This window comes from Homo sapiens, chromosome 10 (genome assembly GCF_000001405.40).
Source record: "Homo sapiens chromosome 10, GRCh38.p14 Primary Assembly".
Lineage (NCBI taxonomy): Eukaryota > Metazoa > Chordata > Mammalia > Primates > Hominidae > Homo > Homo sapiens.
The window spans coordinates 43,314,058-43,333,371 of record NC_000010.11 but is presented as its reverse complement, the minus strand read 5'-3'; the positions used below and the strand labels follow the sequence as shown (position 1 = coordinate 43,333,371).

At 51.0% G+C, this 19,314-nt stretch overlaps 2 long non-coding RNA genes across 3 annotated transcripts in view, besides 6 other annotated features; both read right to left on the bottom strand.

Moving 5' to 3' along the window:
* LOC105378271 (uncharacterized) overlaps positions 1–14,974 on the bottom strand; it is a 31,909-nt gene extending 16,935 nt beyond the window's left edge. Inside the window, exons 1-2 of the long non-coding RNA XR_945902.3 lie at positions 14,777–14,974; positions 13,064–13,159 (exon numbers count right to left, since the gene is read on the bottom strand). This is a non-coding gene — a long non-coding RNA (uncharacterized LOC105378271). The remainder of the gene's footprint in view (positions 1–13,063; positions 13,160–14,776) is intronic.
* Positions 2,679–3,350: an enhancer, noted in NCBI's record as "NANOG-H3K27ac hESC enhancer chr10:43825470-43826141 (GRCh37/hg19 assembly coordinates)". NCBI's record gives its function as "activates a minimal SCP1, AML or CMV promoter by ChIP-STARR-seq in naive and primed H9 embryonic stem cells {active_cell/tissue: H9 hESC(naive and primed)}" and the evidence as "EXISTENCE:reporter gene assay evidence [ECO:0000049][PMID:30033119]".
* On the bottom strand, positions 5,434–10,378 carry LINC02633 (long intergenic non-protein coding RNA 2633). Of its 2 annotated transcripts, none has more exons than XR_945901.3 (2): positions 9,672–10,378; positions 5,434–6,001 (listed from the first exon to the last, which is right to left on the bottom strand). It is a non-coding gene; the product is annotated as a long intergenic non-protein coding RNA 2633 (long non-coding RNA). The 2 variants fall into 2 exon arrangements; XR_007062128.1 differs by lacking the exon at positions 5,434–6,001 and adding an exon at positions 6,433–6,820 and having other exon boundaries at positions 9,672–10,354.
* Positions 12,793–13,625: an enhancer, noted in NCBI's record as "H3K27ac-H3K4me1 hESC enhancer chr10:43815195-43816027 (GRCh37/hg19 assembly coordinates)". NCBI's record gives its function as "activates a minimal SCP1, AML or CMV promoter by ChIP-STARR-seq in primed H9 embryonic stem cells {active_cell/tissue: H9 hESC(primed)}" and the evidence as "EXISTENCE:reporter gene assay evidence [ECO:0000049][PMID:30033119]".
* Positions 13,173–13,390: a silencer, noted in NCBI's record as "fragment chr10:43815430-43815647 (GRCh37/hg19 assembly coordinates)". NCBI's record gives its function as "represses an EF-1alpha promoter that drives an FKBP-Casp9 reporter gene in an ReSE screen in HepG2 liver carcinoma cells {active_cell/tissue: HepG2}" and the evidence as "EXISTENCE:reporter gene assay evidence [ECO:0000049][PMID:32094911]".
* Positions 14,543–15,092: an enhancer, noted in NCBI's record as "H3K4me1 hESC enhancer chr10:43813728-43814277 (GRCh37/hg19 assembly coordinates)". NCBI's record gives its function as "activates a minimal SCP1, AML or CMV promoter by ChIP-STARR-seq in primed H9 embryonic stem cells {active_cell/tissue: H9 hESC(primed)}" and the evidence as "EXISTENCE:reporter gene assay evidence [ECO:0000049][PMID:30033119]".
* Positions 15,093–15,643: an enhancer, noted in NCBI's record as "H3K4me1 hESC enhancer chr10:43813177-43813727 (GRCh37/hg19 assembly coordinates)". NCBI's record gives its function as "activates a minimal SCP1, AML or CMV promoter by ChIP-STARR-seq in primed H9 embryonic stem cells {active_cell/tissue: H9 hESC(primed)}" and the evidence as "EXISTENCE:reporter gene assay evidence [ECO:0000049][PMID:30033119]".
* Positions 15,644–16,194: an enhancer, noted in NCBI's record as "H3K4me1 hESC enhancer chr10:43812626-43813176 (GRCh37/hg19 assembly coordinates)". NCBI's record gives its function as "activates a minimal SCP1, AML or CMV promoter by ChIP-STARR-seq in primed H9 embryonic stem cells {active_cell/tissue: H9 hESC(primed)}" and the evidence as "EXISTENCE:reporter gene assay evidence [ECO:0000049][PMID:30033119]".

The window sequence follows — 19,314 nt, the reverse complement described above, 5'->3', positions numbered from 1 at the left end:
CAAAAATGCTACAGCGCAAGTGGCTGTTCACAGCCTTCCCTTTCCTTTGTGTCATGAGGAGGTGCGAGTGTTTGGCTGCTCCTTATGGGGCCTTTGCTGTGGGAGTGGGCAGAGATGGGAAGAGCCCAGGCTGATCCATGTTAGAACAGACCTGGGAGTTTTTGCCGGAAATCCAGCAGTCCTGTTGGAGGGGATGGGAGGGGAGAGGAAGAGAAGGCTGGAAGCTTAGGGGGAGAGAAGCAGATGGGGAGAGGGGAGGAGATACTGGAGGATCTGCTTTAAAGCGCAGCTTTGGTCGGGGGTGGGAAGGACGACATCAGGAAGTTTTGCTTTGCATCATGAGATGGGAGCCTACTCTCCACAGTCCTCCCAAGAAAACTTGAAGCAAAGCTCTCCATGACTGCTCAGGGTTTTGGACCTGCGTTACTTTTGGCTATGTCACTACATTGAGATGACATGGAGAAGGGTGGGGGTGGTTTTATCTGGGTGTTACATAAACACTGAGCAGTTGTAGCTTTATTTGTGGTGCTGGCCTTCATGGACCACTGCCTGAGATAGCAACAGAAGTACAGCGGTGGAGAGGAGTGGGTGGAGAAGCATTTTAAAAATAATATATGTTAAGAATTTTAAAATTTGGGCCAGGTGCAGTGGCTCATGCCTGTAATCCCAGCACTTTGGTAGGCCAAGGCTGGCGGATCACTTGAGGTCAGGAGTTCAAGACCGGCCTGGCCAACATGTTGAAACCCCATCTCTACTAAAAATACAAAAATTAGCCGGGTGTGGTGGTGCGTGCCTGTAATCCCAGCTACATGGGATGCTGAGACAGAAGAATTGCTTGAACCTGGGAGGGAGAGGTTGCAGTAAGCCGAGATCAGGCTATTGCACTCCAACCTGGGTGACAGAGTGAGACTCTGTCTCAAAAAAAAAAAGAGGATAAATTTCGAAATGATTATAAACCCACAGGAAGTTGCAAAAAAAAAAAAAAGTTCGAGGAAGTTTCGTGTACGTTTCACCCAGTTTCCCCCAATGATAACATCTTCTCTAACTATGGTTTAATATCAAAGCCAGGACGCTGATGTTGATACAGTCCTCAGAGCTTGTTTGTACTTCATCAGTGTCACATGCACTCACTTGTGTGTGTTGTATGTATGCGTGTGAATAGTTCAATGCAATTTTATCACATGTGTAGGTTCGTGTAACCAGCACCACAATCAAGATACAGAATAATTATCACCACAGAAGTCCTTCATGCTAACCCTTTACCTATGTCCGCCCCCTCCTCCTCTGCCCCTAAACCCTGGCAACTGCTAATCTGATTTTCATCTGTCTATTTTGTCATTTCAAAAATGTTATATAAATGGAATCACACAGTATATGGCCTTTTGAACTGGCTCTTTTTCACTGAGCGTAATTTGCTTGAGATCCATCCAAGTTGTTGAATATATCAATTGTCGGTTCCTTTTTATTGCTGAGTAGTATTACATGGTATGGGGGTATCAAAGTTTCTTTAACCATTCACCCATTGAAGAGCATTTGTGTTTTTTCCAGTTTTTGGCAATTGTGAATAATGCTGCTGTGGACATTTGTGGCCAGGTGTTGGTGTGAACAGTTTTCATTTCTCTGTGATAAATGTGAGTGTGGTTTCTGGGTTTTATGGCCAGTATATATTTAGTTTTATAAGAGACTACCGGCTGGGCATGGTGGCTCACACCTGTAATCCCAGCACTTTGGGAGGCTGAAGCGGGAGGATCACCTGAGTTCAGGAGTTCAAGACCAGCCTGGCTAACATGGTAAAACCCCGTTTCTACTAAAAATACAAAAAATTAGCCAGGCATGATGGTGCGCACCTGTAATCCCAGCTACTCAGGAGGCTGAGGCAGGAGAATTGCTTGAACCCAGGAGGCGGAGGTTGCAGTGAGCCGAGATCTCACCATTGCACTCCAGCCTGGGCAACAAGAGCAAAACTCCATCTTAAAAAAAAAAAAAAAGAAAGAAAAAAAGAAAGAAACTACCAAGCTATTTTCCAGGGTGCCTGTACCATTTTACATTATTTTTTTTGTGAGATGGAGTCTTGCTCTGTTGCCCAGGATGGAGTGCAGTGGCCTGATCTTGGCTCACTGCAACCACCACCTCCCAGGTTCAAGCCATTCTCCTGCCTCAGACTCCTGAGTAGCTGGGATTACAGGTGCCCGCCACCACTCCTGGCTAATTTTTAAATATTTTTAGTAGAGATAGGGTTTCATCATGTTGGCCAGGCTGGTCTCAAACTCCTGACCTCAAGTAATCCACCTGCCTCTGTCTCCCAAAATGCTGGGATTACAGGCATGAGCCACCGTGCCTGGCCACATTCCTAACAGTAATGTGTGGTCTAGTTTTTCTGCATCCTCACTATCATTTGGTGTTATCACTATTTTTTTTTCTTTCTTTTTTTTTTTTTTTGAGGCAGGGTTTTGCTGTGTCACCCAGGCTGGAGTGCAGTGGCATAATCTCGGCTCAATGCAGCCTCGATCTCCTGGGCTCAAGCGATCCTCCCACCTCAGTCTCCCAAATAGCTGGGACTACAGGTGTGAGCCATCATGCCCAGCTAATTATTTTTTGTAGAGATTGGGTCTCACTATGTTGCCCAGGCTAGTCTTGAACTCCTGGGCTCAGGCAGTCTTTCCCCCTCAGCCTTCCAAAGTGCTGAAACTGCAGGTGTGGGACACTACACCAAGCCACTGTTCTCTTTTTTTTTTTTTTTTTTTTTTTTTAGTATTTATTGATCATTCTTGGGTGTTTCTCAGAGAGGGGGATGTGGCAGGGTCATAGGATAATAGTGGAGAGAAGGTCAGCAGATAAACACGAGAACAAAGGTCTCTGGTTTTCCTAGGCAGAGGTCCCTGCGGCCTTCGGCCGTGTTTGTGTCCCTGGGTACTTGAGATTAGGGAGTGGTGATGACTCTTAACGAGCATGCTGCCTTCAAGCATCTGTTTAACAAAGCACATCTTGCACCACCCTTAATCCATTTAACCCTGAGTTGACATAGCACATGTTTCAGAGAGCACGGGGTTGGGGGTAAGGTTATAAATTAACAGCATCCCAAGGCAGAAGAATTTTTCTTAGTACAGAACAAAATGGAGTCTCCTATGTCTACTTCTTTCTACACAGACACAGTAACAATCTGATCTCTCTTTCTTTTCCCCACATTTCCCCCTTTTCTTTACGACAAAACCACCATCATCATCATGGCCCGTTCTCGATGGTTGCTGTCTCTTCCGAGCTGTTGGGTACACTTCCCAGATGGGGTGGCCTGGCAGAGGTGCTCCCCACCTCCCAGACGATGGGCGGCTGGGCAGAGGCGCTCCCCACCTCCCAGACGGGGCGGCCGGGCAGAGGTGCTCCTCACCTCCCAGATGGGGTGGCCGGGCATAGACGCCCCTCACCTCCCAGATGGGGCGGCCAGGCAGAGGCACCCACTTCCCAGATGGGGCAGCCGGGCAGAGGTGCTCCCCACCTCCCAGACGAAGGGCGGCCGGGCAGAGGCGCTCCTCACTTCCCAGGCGGGGCGGCCAGGCAGAGGCGCTCCTCACCTTCCAGATGGGGTGGCCGGGCAGAGATGCCCCTCACCTCCCAGACGGGGCGGCCGGGCAGAGGCGATCCTCACTTCCCAGATGATGGGCGGTCAGGCAGAGGTGCTCCTCGCTTCCCAGATGGGGCGGCCGGGCATAGGTGCTCCTCACTTCCCAGACAGGGCGGTCAGGTAGAGGCACTCCTCGCTTCCCAGACGGGGCAGCCGGGCAGAGGGGCTCCTCACATCCCAGACAGGGTGGTGGCCTGGCAGAGACACTCCTCACCTCACAGACGGGGTGGCAGCCGGGCAGAGGCGCTCCTCACTTCCCAGACGGGGCAGCCGGGCAGAGGTGCTCCTCACTTCACAGACGGGGTGGCCGGGCATAGGCGCTCCTCACATCCCAGAGGAGGCCGGCGGGCAGAGGCGCTCCTCACATCCCAAACGATGGGCGGCCAGGCAGAGACGCTCCTCACTTCCCAGACGGGGTGGCGGCCAGGCAGAGGCACTCCTCACTTCCCAAACGGGGCGGCCGGGCAGAGGGGCTCCCCACATCCCAGACGATGGGCAGCCAGGCAGAGACGCTCCCCACTTCCCAGATGGGGTGGCGGCCAGGCAGAGGCAGTAATCGTAGCACTTTGGGAGGCCAAGGCAGGCAGCTGGAAGGTGGAGGTTGCAGCGAACCGAGATCACACCACTGCACTCCAGCCTGGGCAACACTGAGCATTGAGTGAGCGAGACTCCGTCTGCAATCCCAGCACCCTGGGAGGCCGAGGCAGGCAGACTACTTGAGGTCAGGAGCCGGAGACCAGCCCGGTCAACAGGGGAAACCCTGTCTCCTCCAAAAATACAAAAACCAGTCAGGCGCGGCGGCGCTCGCCCACAATCCCAGGCACTCGGCAGGCCGAGGCAGGAGAACCACGGGAGCCCGGGGCAGGGAGGCTGCAGCTAGCTGAGACCACGGCAGTATAGTCCAGCCTCAGCAACAGAGGGAGACCAGAGGGAGAGGGAGAGGGAGAGGCCACTGTTCTTTATTTTAGTCACTGTGATAGGTGTATAGTGATTGTGGGTTTATTTGAGTTTCTCTAATAGCTAATCATGTTGAGCATCATTTAATAAGCTTATTTGCGAATGTATACCCTTTTTGGTGAAATATATATTTATGTCTTTTGCTCACATATGAATTGGATTTTTAAAAATTGGGTTGTTTGTCTTCTTATTATTGAGTTATGGGAGTTCTTTATGTATTCCAGATTCATGTTTTTTGTTGGATATATATTTCGCAAATATTTTTCACAGTATATAGCTCCCTTTTTCTTTCTAACAGTCTTTTGTAGAGCCAAAGTTTTAATTTTGAGAAAGTTCAATTTATTGATTTGTTGCCTTCATGGATTATGCTGTTTGTGTCTTATCTAAGTAATCTTTGCCAAACCAAAGGTTGTTAAGATGTTCTCCTATGCCTTCTTTAAGGAATTTGTGTGAATTACACATTAATCACCCTAAGAGTTCAGCTGCTGAAAGGACGTGCAGGACTCGGTTTATACTTGTGCTTTTTTATAGGCACAGTAGCAAAAGCAGAAGGCTATGCACTAAAGGGACTTTGAGATCTAGATATTTTTAACACTGGGACACATAGGATGCACTTTGATTTCAGATCTTGCCCTTGAACACTGTGTGTGGAAGCACCTCGGTCCCAAGAAGCCTGAAGTCGGCTCATGGTGGGAGTCTTAGAGTGAGCTGATCACATAGGTATGTTCCGACTTTGTGACCAGCTTTAGCTTTCAAAATTTTCCAGACCCCTCTAAAACCAGGTACAAATAATGAGTTCAATTATTATTGAACAATGCTGACAGGCTGGTAGTCCTGCCCTGAAGCAACTCACAGACTCATAGTTATAGAACATCTTTATCTTTAGTTAATCCATTGCACAGCATTGGCCAAGGGTCAATACCTTGTAATAAGCATGTGTGCATTGGTCAGGGTTCTACAGAGAGGCAGATCAATAGGAGCTATCGATAGATATAGACATATGAGAGGGGGTTTGTTAGGGGAATTAGCTCACTTGATTACAGAGGTTGAGAAGTCGCACAACAGGCTGTCTACAAGCTGGCAACTCTGAGATGCTGGTAGCATGGCCCAGTCCAAGTCCAGAGACCTTAGAACCAGGGAAACCAATTATGTAAGTCTCTGTCTGAGGCTGAAGTCGTGAGAACCGGGGGGCAGGAAGAGGAGAGTGTCCCAGTTCCAGGAGAGAGAGGGAAAATCCTTTTCCTTCCTTTTTTGTTCTCTCTGGACACCCAGCCAATTGAATGGTGGCTGCCCACATTGAGGAACATCTTCCCGACTCAGTGCAGCAACTCACACATCAGTCTCCTTGAAACACCCTCACAGACACATCCAGAAGTACTGTTTTGCCAGTTTTGTAGGTATTTCTTAATCCAGTCATGTCAACACCTAAAATTAACCGTCACAATGTGGTTAATCCAGATCAGCTGAGATTAACCCATGATAGCATGGGTTAATATATAACCCATGATAGCATGGGTAAAACTATAAGGCTTATAGTTTTAGCTAACACAAAAACTATGTTTAGGTGTATGATCCATTTTGAGTTAATTTAATTTTTTTTTAAGAGATAGGGTCTTTCTCTGTCACCCAGGTTGGAGTGCAGTGGTATGATCATAGCTCACTGTAACCTTCAACTCCTGGGCTCAAGGGATTTTTCTGCCTCAACCTCTCAAGTAGCTAGAACTACAGGTTTCTCAGGAGGTTGAGGTGAGAGGAGCCACCACACATGGCTAATTTTAAAACTTTTTGTAGAGATGGGATCTCACTATGTTGCCCAAGCTGGTCTCGAACGCTTGGTCTCAAGAAATCCTCCTTGCTTGGCCTCTGAATGCACTTTATTTTTGTATACCTAATTAATTGATATATATATTGACCTTGTATCTTCCAGCCTGCTAAACACATTTGTGGAGACTTCAGGGATCCAGTGGTTTGGGACATGCTTGGACATTCCTTCCAAAGTAAAAGACAAATGATTGCATCTCATACTTCCCACCAACGAGAATAAAGCACGATGCTTAGTAGGCTCCCTTGGGTTTAAAGGTAGCAAACCCCATAGGTGGGCATGCTGCTCTGGCCCCCTTATTGAGCTATATGAAGGCTCTGGGCCCAGAGCTGGAAAGGGCTCTGTAGCAAGTTCAGGATGTGGGTCAGCAGCCCTGCTCCTTCCATCATAAGATCCAGCAGACCTTAATGTATACGAGGTATCTATGGTAGAAAAAGAGGGCATTTGGAGTTTACGACAGGTTCCCATGGGAGAATCACAATACAGACAATTAGGGTTCTGGATCAAGACCACACCATCTGTAACTGATAATTATACATATACCACCCAAAAAACCAAACCCAACCAGAACAGCTCCCAGCATGCCACCGGGCCCTGATGGAGGCAGAGCACCCAGCAACAGACATCAAGCGACTCTGCAGCCAGAACTGCCCATCCTGAGCTGGGTTCGGCTAGAACCCAAGTTATAAAATCAGTGGTGGGCCCAACAGCCCCATTCACAGTATGATGGTGATGGTGCATTCCATTCTGGGCCAGAGCAGGGCCATGTGGCAGCCAGGAGCTGCACAAGCAGGTGGCCCAGGCCCCATATTGTCTGCAAAGGTTGCATCGGGCCCCTGTCTCACTCAGCTCAGAATTGGGGTAGAGGTGGGAGTAAAGGGGCCAAACTTGGGTCATGGCTTGATAGGTGGATGTAAGCCCCAAATGCTGCTGTGCTATAGCCTGCCATGGGACAGCCCTGAAAAACAGTGGTGGGGGAAAGTCCTCCCAATAGGCAGAAATTCTGACAGAGCAACCGTCATTCACTATGTGGAAAGAAGCGGACTGAGGTTAGAGTAAACATGAAACTGATGGACAGTGGCTGATGGCTGGGCTGGTGATCAGGGGTCTAGAAGGAGAAAGACTGGGAGGTGTGGTGGGCTGAAAAATGCCACCCCAGCAATGTGTGTCCATGTTCTCTTCCTGAAATCTGTGAATGTGACCTTACTTGGAAAAAGGGTCTTTGTACGTGTGATTCATTTAAGCATCCTCAGGTGAGGGTCATCCTGGGTTATCTGGGTGGGCCCTGAATGCCATCATAAGTGTCCTTGTGAGAGAGAGGTAGTGCGAGATTAGACACACACAGTTGGAAGGCCACGTGATGGTGGGAGCAGACATTGGGGTGTACAGCCACAAGTCCAGGAACACCCGCAGCCACCATAGGCAAGGCATGGGTTCTACCCTAGAGGCTCTGGAGGAAGTGCAGCTTTGCTGACACCTTAACTTCAGAGTTCTGGACTCCAGGACCTGTGAGAAAAAACTAGGCTGTTCTTTTAAGTCACTAAGTTCGTTGTAATTTGTTACAGCAGCCCAGGAAACTAATAAGAGAAGGCGGGGCAACAGGAGGTCTTTGCAGAGGCCTGTGATGGAGCTGTGGAGTGGGCATGTGAGGGTCCATGCAGCCCATGCAGACACCACACGTCCATGTGCAGTCTGCCTCTGTTGCAGTGCCCCGGCCTGTGGCTGATGGGGTCATGGGGACTCCCGGCAAGGACTTGCATTCATTCTCACATCTTGCCTCTGCCTTGTGCAGTGTGTTGTGATCTTGCCCACCACCCATGGCTCACACTGCATGGGAACTAGCCGCCTCCTTTTTCAACCCTTGTTAAGAAAGAATTTGTCTGGGTGACATCTGTCCTCTCTCTCCTCTGATGTTTTATCTTCTCTTTCTGTTGTTGGGCCAAGTTTTTGCTGCCTACAGCTGAAACTGCTCACAATTTCACATCATCCACTCTGTAAGGCAGGGCTTCTAGAACAGATAGTCCAGGGAGTTCTCACTCAGGGGGCTGCTCCCACTGGCATGGAGCTTCCTGAATGTAACTGCTCTGGCATCTTCTGCCGGGCACTGTTTTCTTTGAGCCGATGGAGTTCAGCTTTGTACCTGTCTGCACTTTGTTTAGCTTCCTCAGGAGGGTCTTTTAACCTCTACATTTTTGACCTATAAAATTTTTAATAAAATCTTGCAACTGGGGCCAAGCATGGTGGCTCATACCTGTAATCCCAGCACTTTGGGAGGCCAAGGTGGGAGGATCGCTTGAACCCAGGAGCTCCAGACCAGCCTGGGCAACATAATGAGACCCCCATCTCTACAAAAATAAAAATAAAAAATAAAATTAGCCAGGTGTGGTGGTGTGCGCCTGTGGTCCCAGCTACTCAGGAGGCTGAGGTGGAAGGATTGCTTAAGCCTGGGAGGTTGAGACTGCAGTGAGCTATGATTGTACCACTGCACTCCATCCTGGGCGACAGAGTGACACTCTGTCTTTAAAAAAAAAAAAAAAAACTTGCCATCAGCTCATAGATAACCAGCTTTCAAGTATATTTTAAAAATTCGGCTGGGAGCAGTGGTTCACACCTGTAATCCCATCACTTTGGGAGGCTGAGGCAGATGGATCACTTGAGGCCAGGAGTTCAAGACCAACTTGGTCAACATGGAGAAACTTCGTCTCTACTAAAAATACAAAAATTAGCTGGGCGCGGTGGCACATGCCTGTAATCTCATCTACTTGGGAGGCTGAGGCACTAGAATTACTTGAACCTGGGAACTGGAGGTTGCAGTGAGCCAGAATCGAGCCACTACACTCCAGCCTGGGCGATAGAGCAAGACTCTGTGTTAAGAAAAAAAAGTCCGGGTGCGGTGGCTCACACCTGCAATCCCAGCACTTTGGAAGGCCGAGGCGGGTGGATCACGAGGTCAGGAGATCAAGACCATCCTGGCTAACATGTGAAACCCCGTCTCTACTAAAAATACAAAAAATTAGCCGGGCGTGGTGGCGAGCGCCTGTAGTTCCAGCTACTCGGGCGGCTGAGGCAGGACAATGGCTTGAACCCGGGAAACGGAGCTTGCAGTGAGCCGAGATTGCGCCACTGCACTCCAGCCTGGGCGACAGAGCGAGACTCCGTCTCAAAAAACAAACAAACAAAAAATCTGTTTTCTTTTGGTCCCCAAAAAGCAAGCCGATTTTCCACTCATCTTTAAGCTTTGATACTTCCTCCAAGAGATTTTTTATTGTGTACCTTACTTCCTTGAAAAGGTTTCATTGTTTTGGGTTTCTCTTCATTGTCTGATTAAACACTTAAACAATGTTCTTTTATAATTTATCTTCATCTGTCGTTCAGTTATGTGTTGTCTTCCTCCGCCGCCCCGCACAGGAAAGTGAACTCCCTAGAAGAAAATGGCTCCCCAAAATTATATGCTCCGAACTCCTCCTGACAAACAGACAGGTTTTCAGGCAGAGGGACCACTAGACCTCCGTGAAGGCTCAGGAAGCGCGGGGCCCTGCCGCTTTGCCCGGAGGGAACCTGGTGGGCGGCCTGCATCACACCCCCATCCCACTCCAGCCCCTTGGGGGCTTCCCATTCTAGACACCCTAGTGCCAGAGCGTTAGAGTCGCCAGGTCCTGCTGGGCCTTGATCCTCTCTGTGGTCTGTTATCCTGGCTATCTTTTGGGCTCCATTTCTAGCTGTTTCGTGGGTTTCACAGAGAAAGTTTCTTGGTAGGAAGGATGGGAGCCCAGGAGTGTCCAGTGGGAGGCATGACTTTGGTATTAGTGACATTGCCCGGAAACAGTGCGTTTGAAGCCGCTGTCCCTGCTCTCTGCAGGCTCCCCGCTCTCTGTGGTGCCCCCGGGGAGTGGCAAGAAGCGGCATCCATCATCTCCCTCGGCCCAGCCCGGGCCTACGGCGTTCACCGGAGCCTCAGCCCCGCCCCCTCCAACTGACTCAGCCCGCCCCGCGCCCAGATGGCCAATCACTGGCTTAGCTCCTAATGCGCCACAAAGGCACTGGCAGTCTGGCCCCGCCCCAGCCCAGGACGCGCTGTTGCCATGGTGACGGTAAACCGGCTTGGTCTGAGTAGCCAAGCTCGCGTGTGAGACCCCTGCACAGACACTCAAGGGGCAGGTGAGGGGCGGAGGGGCCACGGTTGCGAGAAAAGAGGCCCTCCAAAGCCCCCGCAGCCCTCCTTGTTGGTTAGTGAAGATTTTGGCCCCACCTCGCGTCTCTTCACCGCTTCTGTCATCTTCCCGGATTCCTTCAGCGTCTACCTTGGTCTCTTGGGGCCTTCGCTCCTTGACCGCGAAAACAAAGTCGCTTCTTTCCTAAAAGTCTTCCTTTCTTCCTCAAAGTAATCATTCTTCAGGTATCTTGAGCAAAGTGCACAGAGAGCCGAGCCTCCTGAAGGCCGCTCCCTTTGTCAGGGATTGGAGTAGGGTTGGGCCAACTTGGCAGTTCCGCCCAATTCTGACTGGCAGGACCAGAAACCAAGGACTCTCTGTCTGTGGTATGGGCAAGTGGCCTTGGTAAATGACGTGGGGAGCTGCGGAGGCATCCATGACTTTCTTCCTTTTTTTCCTTTCTTTCCTTTCCTTCCTTTCCTTCCTTCCCTCCCTCCCTCTCTCTTTCTTTCTTTTTCTTCATTTATTTCTTTTTTTTTTTGATACGGAGTTTTGCTCTGTCGTCCAGGCTGGAGTGCAATGGTGCGATCTCGGCTCACTGCAACTTTTGCCTCCCGGGTTCAAATCATTCTCCTGCCTCAGCTTCCTAAGTAGCTGGGATTACAGGTGCGTGCCACCAAGCCCAGCTAATTTTTGTATTTTTTAGTAGAGATGGGGTTTTGCCGCGTTGGCCAGACTGGTCTTGAACTCCTGACCTCAGCTGATCTGCCCGCCTTGGCCTCCCAAAGTGCTGGGATTACAGGCATGAGCCACCATGCCTGGCCAACACCCTGTTGTTTAAGCCACTTTGGCCAGGATTTCCTGTACTTGAACCTGGAAGCATCCTTTATAATATGCCATCCTTATGATAACACCTCTGTCCCACTGTGAACACCCATGAGACTCTAGACCTCAGTATTACCAGTCACTGCACCCTCTCCGAATCTCCAGGTCAGCCATCTCCCTCCCATACCCTGCCCAGCCTTCCGGTGGACCTCACCATCTCTTTGAAGGCCTTTCCTCACTTGGCTTGAGACAGCATTCCCTGGTCTTCAGCCTTTCTCAGGGGGCCTCCCTGGGTCTCACTTTCTCACCTTTGTGGTGGCAGTGGTGCAGCCTCCATCCAGCCTTGGACCCTTCTTTTGATCTCTTCACCCTCCTTAAATGAAGGTATCGAGCCATGATTTTTAAATTTCATCTGCATGCTGACTCCCCAAGCCACTGTCTCCAGCTTGTTTTTATAGACACAGGCTCAAGCAGCCAACTGCCTCACACACATCATGCTTGGATGCTGTATTAGTCCGTTCTCACACTGCTGAAGAAAGGCCTGAGACTGGGTAATTTATAAACAAAAGAGGTTTAATTGGCTCACAGTTCTGCAGGCTGTACAGGAAGCATGGCAGCATCTGCTTCTGGGGAGGCCTCAGGGAGCTTTCACTCATGGCAGAAGGCAGAGCGGGAGCAGGTGTCTCACATGGCAGGACCAGGAGCAAGACAGGGAATGGGGAGATGCCCCACACTTTCAAACAGTCGGATCCCTCCCGAACTCACTCACTAAGAGGAGAACAGTGCCGAGGGGATGGTGCTGACCCATTCATGAGAACTCCGCCCCCATGATCAAATTACCTCCCGCCAGGCCCCACCTCCAACACTGGGGATTACAATTGAACAGGAGATTTGGGTGGCGACACAGATCCAAACCATATCAGATATCTAATGCCCATTTCAAATTGAGCATGTTCGAAATAGAATTACTGATGTCTCATGTGTCCGTGTGAAGAGACCACCAAACAGGCTTTGTGTGAGCAACAAGGCTGTTTATTTCACCTGTGTGCAGGCGGGCTGAGTCTGAAAAGAGTCAGCAAAGGGTGGTGGGATTATCATTAGTTCTTATAAGTTTGGGGATAGGCAGTGGAGTTAGAAGCAATGTTTTGTGGGCAGGGGGTGGATCTCGAAAAGTACGTTCTCAAGGGTGGGGAGAATTACAAAGAACCTTCTTAAGGGTGGGGGAGATTATAAAGAACCTTCTTAAGGGTGGGGGAGATTACAAAGTACATTGATCAGTTAGGGTGGGGCAGAAACAAATTACAATGGTGGAATGTCATCAGTTAAGGCTATTTTCACTTCTTTTGTGGATCTTCAGTTGCTTCAGGCCATCTGGATGTATACGTGCAGGTCACAGGGGATATGACGGCTTAGCTTGGGCTCAGAGGCCTGACAACTGATACGCACCCAACCCCCCTGCAAAAAAAACAAAAACAAAAACAAAAACCACCCTGCTCCTGGGAGCAGAGATTCTATGTTGAAGAACTGCAGGCAAAAACGGAGGCAGGAATGTTAGGTTCTCCAGTAGGGGTGGTGGGGAGGTGTCCAGACAGGCACCGGCTCCAGCAGGAGCTTGGAACTGCACTGCGGCAATAAGGGGATGTTGTTCCAGAGACACATTGTAGCGAGTGGTCTTGGCAAAGCACTTACCCATGATCTTAGCTGACCTCCAGGACAGAGCTGAGATGGATGGATGTTGGTCACCAAATTTCAAAGGGACCCCCTTCCTCAAGGTCTCCAGTGGCACTAAATGAAAATAAGGGGCCAGAGCATGAGCTCACTCATGACGCTGCACTGTTTGATGCTCTTTGCAATTTTTTTTTTTTGTTTGAGACGGAGTCTCACTCTGTCGCCCAGGCTGGAGTGCAGTGGCGTGATCTCGGCTTACTGCAACCTCCATCTCCCGGGTTCAAGTGATTCTCCTGCCTCAGCCTCCTGAATAGCAGGGATTACAGGCTTGTGCCACCACACCCAGCTAATTTTTGTATTTTTAGTAGAGACGGGTTTTCACCATGTTGGTCAGGCTGGTCTTGAAGTTCTGACCTCCATGCCCGTCCCTTTGCACATATTAACTCATTGAAAATACATGACCCACCAGTGGGGAGGCTCTCTTATCATTATTCTATAGAAAGGCAAATTGGAAATGCAGAGAAGCCACAGCCAGCTTGCGACTCTCTCTCCACCCCCTTGGCCAGGATCCCAGCTGGCTCCTGCATCCACCTCACTGTTTTCAGCCTGGCTCTCAAACTCCTCCTCAGCATCCTGCCTTGCTGTGAGCAAAGAAGCAGTCCCTTGGCTGACCACCACAGGGACTTCTTAAAAACATGAGGTTTCTCCTTGGCGATGATGATCAGGCCTGAAGCAGAGGACGAGCAGGCAGGGGTGTCCCTAGGGAAGCTGGACTGCCGTGCGTCCCGAGCCGGACCCCAGGCATCTCCCCTGTGGGGTAGGAGGCTGGGGCAGCAGGCACGCTCGGACATTACTCACTCAGTGCATTCTCTTCTTCACCATGCACTTCCCATGAGCGGGGGAAGCCACATCACTGTTTATCTGTGGAGTCTGTCAGTCAGTGTAAGGGCCTATTCCTAGAAAAGGTGTGATTTTGCTCACCCCACACTGAGGGCACCGCAGTGCTAAGGCACAAAGTGACAAGACGCTCCCCTCTGTGGCTTCCCGAATGTGAGCTTGTGCCCCAGCCAGCCATGGAGTCATGGGGAGTTGCTTCCTTCTGCTCCCTCCTGAGAGTCCTAGAAACCTCACTCGGCTCCTGGGCGCAGTCTCACATGTAACGTTGTCTGGTGCGAAGATGCCTGCACCACCAGCCATGTCCTCATGGTGTCATTTGCTGAGTGTCCAATCCGGCTCTTTCCACCCTGGCTTTGAGACAGTCCTCTGTTGGAGATACAGTTTCTAGCTTTTAGCTTAAACTGAGTCTCCAGGCAAGCATGGCAGAAAAGCAGAAACCATCTATCCCGAGATGACCTGACAGCCTGATTAAATAATGACACTAGCTGGCAACAGAAGAGTCGAGAGGAGAAGTAACCCCTCATGAGGTTCGACCCAGAGTGATTTGGTAGGGATTTCCCCAGGGGCACGCAGCACAGCACAGCCAGGACATGGATGCGGCCCCAGGCCTTCCCATTCCCTCTGGAAAGAGTACGAGTTCTAGGGCATTTTATTAATATAACACTTTATTCATATCTTGTACATTTTGCATATACAAAATTAGCCTCTGAGCTTCACTTTTAGATTTTAGAACTTTTTCCGCCCTGTGGGCTGCATAAACAGGTCAGCAGGTCAGCTCTTCGGTGAGTAGCAAATAGAAAATGTGGAGCTAATTAAAGGTCAAGGACATCACGGTACCTGTTATTTCCAGGGCCTGTCTCATGTGGCTGCCATCTCGGGCAGTGAGGTGAGGGATCTGGCTGTCATGAAGCACCAAGATGGTTTGGGTGTAAAGCCATGCCGCCAGTCTTGGTGCCTTCCTGAGTTTAGTGTCTGATCATAGGGAAGATGACATCACAAAGGCAGGTCTGCAGAGGCTGGCCCCTTGGCCGAGGGTGAGGCAGGGACAAGACCAGGCACAGAGGAAGGGGAGGGCACATGAAACCCCCTGGTGTGTTCTTTCAGGGCACAACACAAAATAAAACCACAACAAGCAGCAAGGAAACAATTCACACCAAGGACAAGAGTGGAGCCTGGGGTGGGTCAGGGGATGCGCTCACCTCCAAGGCCAGCGGTCGCACCCTTGAGAGGCTGACTCAGGCTCAAGCACACAGAGGCCACCTGAGGACATGGCATGTCCTGCTTTCTATGCGGAGTCTTTCTATTTATTATTTATACCTTACCTTTATAACCTCTCTCACACATGATATCTTGTTTATTCGTTTTTTTTTCTCTTTGAGACAGGGTCTCACTCTATCATCCAGGCTGGAGTGCAGTGGTACCATCCCAACTCTCTGCAGCCTTGACTTCTTGAGCCCAAGCGATCCTCCCACCTCAGCCTCCAAAAGTGCTGGGATTACAGGCTTGAGCCACTACACCCAGCCTCATTTATTCCTTTAAAATGAGGAAAATGATGACACACCAAACTGGATTGTAACAAAGCCTGCACAAGCCTAGAACACAGCCCTTGATCCCCCCAGCACAAACGTCCTGCAAAAACCTGGTTTGGGAAAAACTCACCTTTGGAGATAACTTAGGGACAAGGAACCAGCAAAGGATCATCCTGAAGACCTGGCCCACAGAAGAATAACTGACAGGCAGGTGAGTCAGAGCACTGACCAGAAGGTGCGGCCACGTGCTGCATGAACAGCAGGTGACATTGGCGGAGGGAGCAGCCATCACTGCAAACCAGAGGCATGCATGAGAGTGCAGGGAGGCGGCAGGGCTGCTGGGGAGAGGGGATGCGGCCTGGCCAAACTCGAGGTTGGAAAAGCCCAGCTCGGAAATGATTTCCTTGGGAGTAGGCTGCAGGGAACCTAGTGCCAGATATCTACTGAAAGATATCTTCCAAGCTCCTTACGTGCAGAATCAGAACTGGAAGTCCTCACTTATTACCATTTTATTCTTGGAGCTCCATGCTCCTTAAGACATCAAATGAATCAGCAACGAACTGAACCAAAGTTTAAAACTCTGCACAGAAATGCCACGTTGCTGAATACTGCCACATTGCGGCCTTCTGGCCAAAGCAGCAAAGTTACCTTCTGAAAACCTGCAAGGCTAGGAATGGGCCTCACCCAGGGAATCACCCAAGGCCTCTGGAAGCCAGGCCAGGTGCACAGCGACAATCTGGGAGGAAGTTCCAGCCACAGGGAAGGAAGGCAGTTCAGGTGTACAGCCACAAGGCTGCACTTGCTGGGGCTCTGGCCTGCAGAGGCTCCCAGGGCAGGGAAGGCAGGAAGCACAGTGCTGTGGTGAGTGGCAGAGAAGGCCTTCGATCCACAGAAAGGAAGAAAGAAAAGAAAAGGATTAGCCAGGCCAGGCACGGTGGCTCACGCCTGTAATCCCAGCACTTTGGGAGGCTGAGGCTGGAGAATCGCTTGAGCCCAGCAGTTCCAGACCCACCTGGGCAACATGGTGAGACCCCATCTCTACCAAAAAAAACTCAAACAAACAAATTAGACAGGTGTGGTGGTGTGCACCTGTGGTCCCAGCTACGCAGGAGGCTGAGGTGGGAGGATCGCTTGAGCCAGGGAGGTGGAGGCTGCAGTGAGCTGATTGCTTCACTGCACTCCAGCCTGGGTGACAAAGCAAAACCCTATCTTGGAAAAAAAAAAAAAAGAAAAGAGAAAACAAGAACTGCAGAAATAGAAAGGAATAAGCAAAAAATCATCTAAACAAGAAGAGGAGACAAGAAGTGCAGGGAAAAATGACAGAAAACTGTCCACTCATCCGAAACCCAGGTGGTGTCCCTGTACCAAGTCAGACTGTGACCTCCATGCTCCAGGGCCGGCTGTAGGCAGGCTCTGAATGAGGAGGAGTTTTCAGAGAAGAACATCTCAAAATGGAAATATTTCAAAGACCAAACAGTGTAAAAGCATCTCCAGGAAGACCTGGGCTTCAGACCCCTACTGAAGGGGTCCCAGGCCCAGGCTTCCCCTGGTGGGGGGTGGGTCTCTGAGGCAGCACTTTTTCTCCTTTTCATGGAAATATTATGGTCCTAGAATAGAATCTGGGCCTGAAGAGGGGCCTCCCCTGGCCTCCAGGGGATGGACCACTTTAGTGTAAATGTAATTTTTTCAAGAATAGTTTTGTTTTATGTTATTTTAACACTCTCCAGGGCAATCTGCTGCACACTCCAGTGTGGGCAGCATTCATCCTAGCAGTTCTACCAAAGGGATCCGGGTCTGAGGACTTGTAGTTCATTATGGCCCTCCTGCTGGGGCCTGACAAAGGCGCAGCACCAGCATCCCAGGCGGCCTCAGGATGGAGCTGTGAGGACGCGGGATCCCCAAAGGTTAATGAAGTTCTCTCACAACCTCTGCAGCGAGGACATTCTCTGTCAGGAGAACCAGCCCTGGATAACTCCTTGTGCTTGTCCTAGTTCTGAGCACTTGGTACTTTAACTCATTCAATGCCTACAACCACCAGTTTTGAAAAAGTGAGAGGAAGCCCAGGGACGTGGAGTCACTTGTCCAAGATTGCACAGCTAGCGTGTGGCCAACCCAGCATCTGAAATCAGGCGCTGTGAGTCAAAGTCCAGCCCCACCCTCTGGCTCCCGGGACTTCTGTCACTTGTGCTCTCTGGGGTCCACTTCCTCATGCTGCCACCTCCGCCGGTCTCCCCAGGTGACGGGGAGGGTCAGCATAGCCAGTGCTCAGCCTGAACCCAGGCTCTTCTCTACCAAAGCAGATTGAGGGGGGGTGGGGGCAGCGAGTGAGTTGATGCCAGATGTTTGTTCATGGTGGCGCAGGGGGTTTAGCTCAGGCGCTGCTGGGTGGGCAGCAGACGCAGGCTCATCCCTATCTGCCTCGCAGAGGGCAGCACTGCCCCCGAGGTCACAGAGGTGGTCCTGCCTTCCGACACCATGCCGTTCTTGCTGTTTCCATGAACTCTCCTTGGCTTTCTCTGGCTGGCTCTGCTTTCACGCTGTTCTTTCCAGAACGCTTGGCTGACGATCGGCAGGGCAGGAGGTGAGGAGTACTCAGGGCCAGTGCAGCTGCCAGTGAAGCCCAGCTTCTTCTGTCCTGAGACACCTCCAGCCCCAGGCCATCCCCTGCCTCCCTGGCCCAGAGCCCCCAGCCCCTCCTCAGCCCCCCTCCCGCCTGCTCCCGGAGGTGCGCACGCCTGTCCTCCTGTTGTCTCAATGCCCTGGGATGCCCTGGCTAAGGCAGGTTTTCTGTCCTCCTTCCAGAGCACTTCCAGGCTAGCAAAATGGCAGGGACATCCTTTCCCCAGGCTGAGCCTGTCCTGTGCACCATCGGCCTAACCCCTGCTGAAAGCTGGGCTGTCCAGCACGTGGCCCAGCTGCCCTGAGTGTTGTCATCATGATGAGTAGATATCCTCATCACCGGGACCTGGGCTGTCTGACAGTGAACTGATTCCATGTCCAAGCCCCTGACTGTCTCCCCATTGGACCTGGCCAGCAGCTCGTGGCTGAGTAAAAACCTCCTCCCCACCAGTTGCCAGGCCGCCGGCCGCCAGTCTGATCGTGGGAGGCACCAGGTCTGATCTGCGCTGCCTCCTCTAGGGTCTGAGGGGCCCATTAACAGTCCTCAGAAGCAAGTCTACCTCGAGGACCAGTCCGTACTTGAGGCCCATGGAGCCTGGTTTGTGAAATCGCGTTCATGCTGGTGTGCAGGATAGGTGTATTCAGAATTGTGTGTGTAGGTGACAAAGTGCATTTTCTGAGACAGCCAATTTGTTCAGCTCTCCAAGGGTCCATGACCCCTGGTGGGTTAAGAGGCACCTATTGGAGGAGACCCATCCTGCTCTGGAAGGCCTGAGACAGACTCTTTCTGGGTCCCATTTTGCTCCCATTCCCAAAGGGGCAGCATCTGTGGGGAGCCTCAGGCCTGGGCTGGGGACGAGGGTGTGGGAGGCAGGCCAGGGCCCCATGGTCTTCTGGGGCTCACTTACGGACCTGCATGAATCACTGAATGCCCCCTACCATAGCTTCAAGGCTCCGTGAGGGGCACTGCTGTGGGTCGGGGTGGGGGTGCTGTCAGTGAAGGGCCAGGTCTGTGCCCGCTGTGGTCCTGGGATAGCCAAGACAGCGTGGTCTGGGGCTGGTCCTGCGTGTGATTTACCCTCAAAGTGGCAGACGCGGGGAAGCATGCTGGCCAGAGCGCCTGTCCCTTGTTCAGTTTTCTTTGGAACTCACCCAGGTTCGCTTCATTGCAATCTCTTGTTCCTGGGCAACTGGACTCAACCATTAGGTGATTTTTTTTGGAGCAGA